This window comes from Homo sapiens, chromosome 16 (genome assembly GCF_000001405.40).
Source record: "Homo sapiens chromosome 16, GRCh38.p14 Primary Assembly".
Classification (NCBI taxonomy): Eukaryota; Metazoa; Chordata; class Mammalia; order Primates; family Hominidae; genus Homo; species Homo sapiens.
Window position 1 is genome coordinate 49,617,812 of NC_000016.10, and position 12,838 is coordinate 49,630,649.

Consider the following 12,838-nt stretch of genomic DNA (forward strand, 5'->3'; position numbering starts at 1 on the left):
CTCACACCCAGGACACAATGGCCACTTGTTGCTGAGCCACACAGACCCTCTTCAGCCTCCCTCCCAGTGCACTTTTCACACTGCACCCAATTGATATTCCTGGAAACACTGCTCCTTCAGCACCAACCACCCTACACTCCTCACTCTCCAGGCTCCTCCCAGATGTTCTCACCATCTATGCTGATGCCGCTGGATCCTCTTCCCCAGACAGGGCCCTGCTGGCCCTCAGATCTCCATGGGTATCTTGTGCAAGGCCACATTATCACAAACACTCAAGCCCACCAAACGTGATGAGCCTTCAGGTGCAGGGGTTAAGGGCGCAGGCCCCGAGTCACACTGGCTGAGTTCAGGTCCCTACCCTGAAACTAGCAACATTGGACATGACACCTCAACTCCCCATGGATAAAAGGAAGTAATGACAGCACGTCTCACAGGGTGTTGTGAGGGTGAAGTGTGATAACACCTGCAGATATGGAAAGAAGGGCCTGGTGCTGAGTAAGCTTCATTAGATGGTACTGACTGATACGGTTTAGCTCTGTGTCCCCACCCAAATTTCATCTCGAATTGTAATCCCCATGTGTGGAGGGAGAGACCTGTAATCCCCACGTGTCGAGAGAGGAAGGTGATTGGATCATGGAGGTGGTTTCCCCAATGCTGTTCTCATGAATGAGTTCTCACAAGATCTGATGGTTTCATAAGGTGCTCTTCCCCCTTTGCTTTCTTCTCTCTCTCTCCTGCCGCCATGTAAGACGTGCTTGCTTCCCCTTCCACTATGATTGTAAGTTTCCTGAGGCCTCCCCAGCCCTGCAGAACTGTGAGTCAATTAAACCTTTTTCTTTTATAAATCACCCAGTCTTGGGTAGATCCTTACAACAGTGTGAGAATGGACTGCTACATGAACCACTGCTAGCATCATTGTCTTCTCTGCCAGTCCCTAAGAGCTCTTCCTCTGGCATGGTATCATCTGCCACCTGTCACCCAAAACCTGGTCACCTGAGACCTTTGAGTCTTCCTAACTTCTCCCCCTCCCATGTCCACTCAATAAGCAAATCCTGCTGGTTATGTCTCTTAAATGTTTCTCCAGCCCATATCCTCCTATCCAACATCCTCACCTTCTCTCACCTACTCTACCTCATCCCCTTTGCTGTGATCCACCCACCTCCTGCCTCAAAGTTTGTTCTGTTGCAGTACTGAATTGTGTACAGTGTCCCTACATACTACATGGACCTCTTTTCTCTATAATTGGCTTGTACTAGTTTCTTTGCCTGGAATTCCCCTCCCACCTTACTTCTTATACTCTGAGACCCTGATTAGGTGTAACCTCTTCCAGGAAGTTTTCCTGGAATACCCAGATTGGGCAACATGCCTGTCCTCTGAGCTCCCTTATCTTAGACTTGTGACGTTACATTGACCTTGCAGGTTATCATCTCCTGAGCTGGGTTAGCGGCCCCTCACAGAGCCCACCGAGGATTTTAATAGTGTTTACTGAACATGAAGGTATGAGGTTACTACTAGAAGAAACCTCAATGACAGAGGCCTTCCCCCAAAACAAACAAACAAACACATACGCATACAAAAGGAACTCAAGAAAATGAGAAATTTTCCACTATTTTAAAATTCAGAACTGATGGATTCTCCATAGACCTAAACAGCTTCCTCGAATGAACCAACGGGATTCAAAGTCAGGGAAACCAAGTCCTTTGGGCTGGTTCTCTCAGCCAGGAAGACTGTTGAGGGGGAAGTGACTATGCCCTAGTTTGGGGGTTTGGCAACGAAAAAAAAAAGAATAAAAAAGAATTGGATTATAGTCTTGCTGTACAGGCTTGTTATTCTGACAGAACAGTTCCAGAACCTGAAACATGATCTCTGGAGGGAGAGGGAGACATTTTTATCACATATTAAGGTTAGACAGATGTTTTGGGTCTGGTGTTACCTGAATCAAAAGCACCATTGAAGAGCCTGACACAGCCCGGTTCAGCAACACGTGATCCTGGCAGAAAGGAGACAGGAACCCCTTTTTCTTTTCATGTTCATGAGATTTTCCTCTGTGGTTCTATTTGGGTTTTTTGTATCTCCCTGGAGCTGGGGCGAGACACTGACTTCCACTCCAGACTGTCCTCCTTGGACCAGAGACTCCTTCCCCTCCAAAATGCTGCAGGCTGGGCCTTCAGCACGGGGCCAGGGTCCAAATGGCAGCTTGAACAGTGGGCCCTGGCTCTGCAAGGTGGTTTGAAAGTATCTCCAGGGATGTGCTTCATAAAGACTTGTAAGGTAGAAAAACCCTCTCTCTGTCTGTCTCCCTCTTTCCCTCTCTCTCTTCTACACACACACACACACACACACACACACACCACACACACACAACACACACATACACACACATACACATACACACACAGACACACACATACACATACACACACAGACACATACACACACAGACACAAAACACATGCCTCCCTCCAGGTTGGCCAGGGCCAGTCCTGCCACAGTGACAGGGGAGGGCTGGGGACAAGAGGACACACAAGGACAGAAGCTGGCACTGGGGACACTTTAAGAGCCTGGGCAGGAGGCAGGAGGGGTTGATTTTCCAAACACCCACTTCCTCCCCCATGTATTTGCCCCTGACAGCAGAGCCCAGCCCTTGAAGGCACCCAGGGAAAGGGCCGGCGTGAGCATGAAAAGCAGGCCTCCGGAATGACTAATGCCCCACCGGGACAGGCCTGGCTCTGGCCTGGCTGCCCGCCAGAGAGTCCACAGCCACTTTCCAAGGACAGCAAGGGCAAGCGTTCCTGACAAGATTCCCTGAGGACCATCCCTTCCCAGCCCTGACCCTCCCCGGGGCTCCCCCAAGGGGCCCGTGAGGCCCTGCGTGAGGACGTCCAGGGGCCCAGAGGCTGAGTCACTCCCTTGGGGCCAACCTGGGTCATGGCAAGTTTGTTATCTCAAGGACAAGTTCTCAGACCCCTTATCCAGCCATCCCCACCCAAAACAAACTAAAAGTAAGGCCTCTCCAGCAAATCGGCTTCCTGGGGGTCTCCAGACTCAGGCCCTGCCCCCCAGGGTGAGGTGCCATGTGCCCCAGGAGGGCAGTGTACATACATTATACATATATGTTCAACACATGTGGGCAGACCCACTGCTCCTCCCTTCCCAGCCGTGGGGGACCAGCTTCCTCTGGGCCAAGCCCCCCATAAGCCTCCCTCTCTCTCCTTCAGCAGCCCCCCCGGGGAGCCCAAGGCAGGGGCCTCCTGCAGAGCAATTTCCTGGGGCGGCAGAGGTGGGAGTCATCCTCCCAGAGTCCTCGGAGGGGGTGAAGGGGAGGTGGGGAAAGGGCGACTGGGCAGAGCTGGGTCAACCCGGCAGGAGGCCACAGCACAGAGCTCTGGGCTGCTCCAAGTTTTTCATGTGCCTTCTGGGGGAGGAAGTGTCAAAGCCATTTCAAAAGCTGGGGGAGTCCCAGGGAAGGGGCCTCATTCTCCATGCGGAGGGGGGATTTCAAAGGAGACCCTGCTATTGAAAGGTTTCCAAAGACCCTCGCCTTTCTATCAGATCCAAATCACTCCCCTCCAAGCAGCAGCCAGGAGAGGGGTGCTGGGAAAATGTTTCCAAGGAGACATGTCCCTGAGTCATCATAACTCCCAGGGTCTCCGGGCTGCAGAGCCATGCAGAGGCCCCCGCTATAAAAAGGCCGGTTTACCGCCCCGCAGGGGAGCTCTCCAGCAGTCCGGGTCCCAGGGGAGGCCTGCCTCAGACCCCCAAGTGCCCTGAGTTTATGAGAAGGCTGCAGAGCTGAACAGGGCCACTTCTACCCACCAAGTCCCCCTGGTGCCACTAAGGGGGACTTTTACCCCCGTCAGCGGCAGGGCAGCCACTCTGGGCTCAGACCATTTAGCAGGAGAAGCCATCCACTGGGACACTGGGCCCCAAAAGATTTACTGGGATTGCAGAGCCAGCCCCAAACCAGGCCTGCAGTGTCTGCCTCTCACCATTTCCCCAGCAGCCTTCCCAAGCCACCAGGGCCAGCCAGAATCACAGCACAAGCCACATCTAAGTTCCATCAACTCCTCTTCTCCCCCTGCCCTGTTCACTCACCCCAGGACCACACCAGGTGGGTCTTCGTTCTCTTCCCAACTGGTTCCTTCTCAACACCGCAGCCAGATTCTTCTTCCTAAGGCTCAGGCCAGGATATACCCTGCTCTGAAACCTTCAATGGCTCCCTAGCGCTTAAGTCCAAGGTTTAAACTCAGGTACCCACAGGGACCAGGCTGGAGACTTAACTGAGCAAGACCATGATGCCTGGGAATGCATGCCTTGCCTACATACAGGAAACTGCTGCTGCTGCTAAGTCACGCCAGGTGGGAATGATGATTGCGGGAATGTGAAGCCCTTGCTGCCACCTCTTGTGGTTTTTCAAGAGAAGCCTAGTAAACCATAGCCAAGGGGCCCCCAAAGTTGGACCCTGGCCTACGGGGTGAAGGACAAACCCTAACCCCTCCACTTGGTATCGGAGGTGCTCCATGGCTCACCCCAACCCCCTCCCCATTCTCACTCCCCACAATGCCTCAGTCTTGGCCAAGCCAAGCACCTACAGCCCCCCAGACTCACCTGCTCTGCTCACCCCCCATCCTGCTATAGGCAGTGGCTCATCACCCTCGCAGCCTGGCAGAAACCCATTGTTCCAGAGCCTCCTCCTGATGTTCAGCCATCTCTCCGAAGGCAACGTCCCCCCTCTTCATCCTTCAATGCCCAGGGGGCCCTGTTCTGGGAGCACCCACATCACTGCACTGCAGTTACCTGCATGCCCATCAGCCTTCCCCTGGAGAGGGAACCCTGAGGTCTCTCCCACCACAGGCCCTGGCAGGGGCTCCAAACACAATGGAGGGACCCTAGCTGTGGTTCAGACTCTGCCTCCATTACTCAGGCTGGAAGGACTTGGGTAACTCACGTAACCTCTCTAAGCCCCGGGTTCCTCATCTGTCAGATGGGGAACTAGTGCCCATGTAAAGTGCCTGGCACATAGAAAGGCTGAGTCAGTAGCAGCTGTTAGCATCCTTATTCAATGTGACCTCTTTGCTGCATGCTATGTGCAGTGTCTTCTATGGGATGATCTCTGAAGCAGAGACCATGTCCCCTGTACTCCCGTCACCCACAGAGACCGCTGCAACTCTCAACATGCCATAGGTGCTCAGTCAAGGTCCTCTGGTAGACTGGGTTGATGAGGCTCGGGGAGGGCAGGCAGGTAGGGAGTGCAGGTTAGAGCGAGAGGGACTGCCCAGCCACCGGAGGTCTGGCTCACCCGGGGTTCCATGCCGCAGTGAACTGGAATCTGCACTCGGGGACCAACCAACCACTCCCTGCTGCCTGCTCTCCAGGCCTCCAACTCCCACGTTCCTGGGCTCCAGGTCAGCTGACAGCGCTGCAGGGCAGGAATGGGCAAGGGGACCTGTCCAGCCCCCCAGCCAAGGCGCCTTCCCTCAGAAGCCCGGCCCACAGCTCATACACAGGCCCAAATGCCCCTCACACCCTCCTTTTGTGTTTCCCACAACTCTAGTTAAGAGCAACCCCCTTGCCTTGCACTTGAGGACACATAGCTTCCAGGCTCTGCACTAAAGGCAAGGTAGAAGAGAGGAGGGAGGGGGCAGAAACACCTCAGAAATCACTGCAGTCCAATTAGCCAGGCTTGCGCCCTTCATGCTTACAAACAGGAACGCGCATTAACATCTGCTACAAAAGCAAACATTTTTAGATATCTTCATCTTCACCTCCCTGACACTCCGTGAAAGGACTCTCAGCAGCCAGTGACTGACAGGGGAGTGCCCCTTCTTATCCTTCAGCAGGGGGCTTTCAGACGGAGAAATTAAGAAGCCACCAATCTCCCTGTCAGGCCAAGCTCCCACAGCCCCCACCTGCTCTTCCTGGGCCCCTCCTCCCCACTCTCCGCCAGGTGAGCCCCACCACACACACGATTGGGAGTCAGTGGCTGCAGGAGACTGGCTCCAAGGCACTGGGGGTAGAGGCTGTCAGATAGGTTGGGGGTCAGGGGGACTGGCCAATGCTGTGGCTAGGTAGGGACCAGGGGACCCATACCTGCCCTGAGAGCACCTTCACTAAAGAAGGGCCTTTGCAATGCAAACCTTAAACAAAACCTTGATGGCTGTACAAATTTGGAGCAAACTCCAACTCTCATACACCACTGGTGGGGGCGTTAAGTCCATACAACCACTTCAGAAATGTATTTGTCAGCATTTACTAAAGGTGAACATCATTTAACCTGTGACTCAGCAAGTCCATCCAAATCCTATATTCCCATTTTATATACATATTTACACATATAAAGAATATAGTATATAACAGTATATAATGTATTATATATAAACGCAAAATATAATATCTATATATTCCTATAATCACAATAAAATCACATACATATGTTCATCAGTAGATATGTACATGGGGCCAGGTATGGTGACTCATGCCTGTAATCCCAGAAATTCGGGAGGCTGAGATGGGCAGATCACTTGAGGTCAGGAGTTTGAGACCAGCCTGGCCAACATAGTGAAACCCTGTCTCTACTAAAAGTACAAAAAAATTAGCCAGGGGAGATGCTGCATGCCTGTAGTACCAGCTGCCTGGGAGGCTGAGGCAGGAGAATCACTTGAACCTGCGAGGCGGAGGTTGCAGTGGGCAGAGATCGTGCCACTGCACTCCAGCCTGGGTGACAGAGTGAGACTCTGTCTCAAAAAAAACCAAACCAAACCAAAACAAAAGAAGACATGTCCATGAATATGCCAGCACTATTTCAGAATGGGCCCATCAAGAATCAAACAGATAAAGAGTGGTTGGCATGCTCCTGTGACAGATTATTATACACCAATGAGAGGCATGATCTCTAACTAGAGGCAATAATGTGAAAAGTGAAAGATGTCAGGTGCAAACGAGTAGAAACTGTGATTCCATTTCCATAAACTAGAAATCAGGCAAAACCAACCTATATTATTAGACATCAGCATCGTGATGACCTGTTGGTGGTAAGGGAGGGCCTGAAGGAGCCCAAGAGGGAAGCTTCTGAAATGCTGGAAATAGTCTGTTTCTTGATCTGTGTGTGGGTTACACAAGTGTGTTTAGTTCATGAAAATTCATTAAGCTTCTCACTTATGAGAAGTTTTCTAAATGTACGCAGTAAAGGGTTTTGTAAACCAGTACTCCGATGGCATAGCTGTTAAGACAACAATGAAAAGATGCTAGAAGAAGAAAAACAGAGATGAAGTAAAGAAGTAGTTCAGGCCAGGCGTGGTGGCTCACGCCTATAATCCCAGCACTTTGGGAGGCCAAGGCGGGTGGATCACGAGGTCAGGAGTTCAAGACCAGCCTGACCAAGATGGTGAAAAATTAGCCAGGCGCAGTGGCAGGTGCCTGTAATCCCAGCTACTTGGGAGGCTGAGGCAGGAAAATCGCTTGAACCCGGGTGGCAGAGGTTGCAGTGAGCAAAGATTGCACCACTGCACTCCAGCCTGGGTGACAGAGTGAGGCTCTGTCTAAAATAAAAAATTAACAAAAAGATGAAGTTCAACCCATGGCTGCAACTTCACTGCTCAGACTAGAGTCTTGGAGAAAGTGATCACATGTCCAACAAAGACCCAGGGTACCAGGCTTCTTGAAGCTCTCCCAGGCCCCAGCCCATCCCAGGCCAGCCCCTTCCCTTAGAACCTCCATGCCTATCAGAACATCAGAACATCCAGCTGTGCCCTCTCCTACAATGAGGGCACCCCTAGCTGCCAAGGAGACCACATCCACCCATCCAAGGTAGAGGGGACTTCACAGCTTCCCAGGTCTCTTGTGCCAAGTGTGTGAACTCCATAGAACTTTGCAAGCTGCCCTTCTAGAGAGGCTGAATTTTCCAAAGTCCAAAACCACTTGAAGAGGAATGGGAAAAGTACTGAAATAACTTTGTAAGCGTTCTGTTTTGACAATGTGCCTGAGGAATTCACCATGTTGAGTAGGGAAATGTGAGCAGTTAAATCTATTCAATGTCATGACACACAAAATTGAAGCATAATTGCTCCTGAGTGCTTGACAATTGGAAAGCACTTTGTTTCAGAAACGGAGGGAAATTTATGCTGGAAAATGGAAGAGATTGTCAAAAGTTTGATTATAATGTGAGTGGAGCTGCGACAAGAAGGCTCAGATGGAGAAAGGGCCCCCATTCTGACATTTTCACTCCCATGTGCAATGTCTCAGAAACAGCAGCAGTGACTCTGTCCTTTGGCCTAAAAGCCAGTAAAATGATGATTGGAACCGCAAATTTAAAACCCCAAAGAGTAGCTCCAGCATGGCTGGGAGGAAATGCTCTCTTACCAATCATGTGGTTGGCAACGTGGATTTGGATCTCTCTCTCGTTCTCGAAGGTCATCTGGCACTTGATGCACTGGTATGTCTTTTTCTGTTTGGAAACCAAAAATAAAAGATTTAGAGAGGCAGGAGGTAGGAAAAAGGAGAAAGCAAAAGTTCCTAGGGGGCCTGGGTCAAGACTTTCCAGAATGGTTCCAGTCCCCTCCTAGGTCTCCCCAGGCCATTCTCTTCCCACCTTCCTCTAAATCCAGCTCTACCAGACTGAGGAAGGGGCATGAAGCTACATTCCAAGGGAGCTGCTTCTCTGCTAGATCTGGGAAAACTGCCATCTCAAGGTGAAGCTTTAAGGGAGCTGAGGGGAGGCCTCCTTGCTTAGAAGGGCAAATCCATCTACCCATGCCCCCATCCATCCAAACATCCACCCATCCATCCTCCATCTACCCATCCACCCATCTACATACACAATCACCCATCTACCCATTCATCCATTTACATACACACCCATCCATCCACTCATTCATCTATCCATCTACCATCCATCCTCCATCTACCCATCCATCCATATACCCATCCATCCACCTACATACACACCCACCAATAGACCCATCCATCCATCCTCCATCTACCCATCCATCCATATACCCATCCATCCATCTACATATACACCCACCAATAGACCCATCCATCCATCCTCCATCTACCCATCCATCCATCTACATAATACCCACCCATCCTCCATCTACCCATCCATTCATCTACATACACACCCACCAATAGACCCATCCATCCATCCTCCATCTACCCATCCATCCATATACCCATCCATCCTCCATCTACCCATCCATCCATATACCCATCCATCCATCTACATATACACCCACCAATAGACCCATCCATCCATCCTCCATCTACCCATCCATCCATCTACATAATACCCACCCATCCTCCATCTACCCATCCATTCATCTACATACACACCCACCTATCCACCCATCCATCCATCCTCCATCTACCCATCAATCCATTTTCCATCTACCCATCCATCCATCTACTCCACCCATCCATCCATCCTCCATCTACCCATCCATCCATCTACATACATACCCACCCATCCATCCTCCATCTACCCATCCATCCATCTACATACATACCCACCCATCCATCCTCCATCTACCCATCCATCCATCTACATACATACCCACCCATCCATCCATCCTCCATCTACCTATCCATCCATATACTCCACCCATCCATCCATCCTCCATCTACCCATCCATCCATCTACATATATACCCACCCATCCATCCTCCATCTACCCATTCATCTGTCTATATACATACCCACCCATCCACCCATCAATCCATCCTCCATCTACCCATCCATCCATCTATTCCACCCATCCATCCATCCTCCATCTACCCATCCATTTATCTATACTCACTCACCCATCCACCCATACTCCATCTACCCGTCCGTCTCCCCACCCATACATCTACACACACACATACCCATATACCCATTCATCCATCCTCCATCTACCCATCCATCCATCCATCCATCCATCTTCTATCTACCCGCCCATCCATCTACATAAACACCCACCCACCCATCCACCCATCTACATACATTCCCACCCATCTACCCAGTCATCCATTTACATACACACCCATCCATCCACCCATTCATCCATCCATCCAACCATCCATCCTCCATCTACCCATCCATCCATATATCCATCCACCCATCTACATACACACCCACCAATAGACCCATCCATCCATCCTCCATCTACCCATCCATCCATCTACTCCACCCATCCATCCATCCTCCATCTACCTATCCATCCATCTACATACATACCCACCCATCCATCTTCCATCTACCCATCCATTCATCTATATACATACCCACCCATCCACCTATCCATCCACCCTCCATCTACCCATCCATCCATCTACTCCAACCATCCATCCATCGTCCATCTACCCATCCATCCATCTACATACATACCCACCCATCCACCCATCCATCCATCCTTCATCTACCCACCCATTTATCTACATACTCACACACCCATCCACCCATACTCCATCTACCCATCCATCTCCCTATCCACACATCTACACACACACATACCCATCTACCCATTCATCCATCTTCCATCTACCCACGCATCCATCCTCTATCTACCCACCCATCCATCTACATACACATCCACCCATCTACCCATTCATCCACACACACATCCACCCATCCACGCATACACCCACCCATCCATCCATCTATTCACCCATCAGTCTATCCATCCATCCACCTACCTATTGTCTGTCTACCCATTCGTCCATCTACACACATATCCATCCATCCATCTATCCATCCATCCATCCATCCATCCATCCATCTATCTATCTATTTTTCTACCTATCCAATAACCTTCTCATCCATTTACTTACCCTAATAACCATGTGGCTGAGCAGGGGACACTGTTCCTGCCAACTCTGGTGTTCAAGGGTGGCTAAGGAACTCCTCATCTGCCCTAAGCACAAATGACCCCAAGAGTTCCTACAGCTGGTTTCCACACACAGGGGCTAGTACCAGCTGCCTGTGGGAGCTGAGGGCAGAAAAACTGAGATGAGAAGCTTCAAAGCTTCTTGAAGAGTTGTTCCAAAGAGTGAACCTCACTCACACAACTAATCCCAGATGGTTCTGAAACACCCCAGGGACAGAGGTGGTGTTGCCCATCTGAGGGAAGGACTGTGGCTGTGGGGTTTTTTGAAGAAAGAGGGGTGGTATTGGAATCACAATATCCAAGTTTTTTGAAGACCACTTTGGTTCCTGGGATGAGAGGGCTTCTCTTACTTCTGGAAAAGGGAGCAGGACTTCACACTTCTTGGCCAAGGTCCCAGGCCCAACCCTCAACTATGCAGCCAGATGAACCACCAGGTAGCTTAACCATCTCAGCTCCTACTTCCCTCTTTATCATTCTGAAATGTTATGATGAGCTCTTGCATGGTGCACACTTTTCTTTCCTTTTACTTTTAACCTACCTGTGTCTTTATATTTATAGTCCAGGCCCTGTAGATAGCTTTCAATTGAGTCTTGCTTTTTTCTTTGCATCTAATCTGACAATCTCTACCTTTTGATTGAAATTTCAACTCCATTTATACTTAGTGTAATTGTCAATATGGTTGATTTTAAATCCTACCATCTTTTGAATTAATTTCTATTTTATCCTACCTGTTCTCTGTTCCTATTTCCCTCTTTCCACCCACACCCACAGTTCCCTAAGTAACTACAGGCCTTTGCCTGTGCTGGTTCCTCTATGTGCAACACCCCCTCCATCCTTGACTCAATTCAAATGTCATCTCTTCTGAGAAGACTTCTCTTTTCACCCCAGAATGGGTCCAGGACCCCCTCCACATCCCTGAACTTATGCTAAAGGACCCTGGGTAATTAATACATTGTTGTGTCAGGGTGGATTGGTTCATCTGCTCCCCTCTTGCACCATGAGCACCCAGAGAGCCAGGAATGTGTTTTGTCTACCTTTGAGGCAGCACATGAAGTGCTTAACAAGCATTTGCTGAACACATAAAGTTGCAGAATAACATATGCAGAGGAGTCTATTCAGGCAGAGGTGACAAAGAGAACCAAAGATGACTTCAGTGTCCTGGACCCACACCACCCTAGCGCAGGCCTTACCTAGAGTCAGTGCATAATAATTATTTAACTTTTATTACGATTATTATTGGCGCTAAGAAAATGCTGCTTGAACAAATGAATGAATGAAGAAACAACTGGAGAAGCTGAAGCTGGATGCGTCAGGCTCCAGGACCTGCTCTGACAAAACCAGGGGCCTTTCCCACAGTGTTTCAGAAGACCTGGGGGATTCGCTGTGTCCTGAGTACAGGCCACAGCCTGGGGCCCAGACACAGGCACTCTGCATGGAAAGGCCCTGGGAAGAGCTAGGTAAGTCGGGGGCAGGGTGGAGAGAAAGACAGGGCTGGGGAGTCCAGCCTTGCCACAGACAAAGGAAGACGTCTAGGCCACAAGGAGACTACAGGGCCTGAGGTCTTCTCAGGAGATGCAGCCCAGAGTACACATCTCAGGTCAACTCCAGGGCCATGGTCGTGGAGATGAACCACCTCGGGTGTCTCCAGCATCAAAACCATCCCTTCTGTCTCACATGTGCCCCCACCTACTCTGCTTGGCAAAGTGCAAGAGCCTTTGGTGGTTGAATGAATGAACGAATGAATGGAATGAGTGAATTAATGAATGAAGCACATCCCAGGAAGGGAAGCTTCATCACAAGGAAGCCCATGGGAGGCCTGCTGGATGAGGACCGCCCAGGCCTATAGGTGGGTGGGTGGGAGGATGGGGTTGGTACCAACCAGCAGCAATGGCTGCGGGCAGATGACCACGTCCCCCCTCCAAGGATGGCGATTTGCTTGGGTGCAAGTCTCTAGAGGCTGCAGCCATGGCTGGTCCA

At 50.4% G+C, this 12,838-nt stretch overlaps 1 protein-coding gene across 15 annotated transcripts in view; it reads right to left on the reverse strand.

The window, feature by feature from the left end:
• ZNF423 (zinc finger protein 423) overlaps positions 1 to 12,838 on the reverse strand; it is a 371,756-nt gene that overhangs the window by 130,288 nt on the left and 228,630 nt on the right. For all 15 annotated transcript variants that reach the window (XM_047433809.1, NM_001379286.1, XM_047433808.1 and 12 more), the window contains one exon: positions 8,359 to 8,443. In XM_047433809.1, coding sequence (XP_047289765.1) covers positions 8,359 to 8,443 — 85 coding nt within the window. The remainder of the gene's footprint in view (positions 1 to 8,358; positions 8,444 to 12,838) is intronic.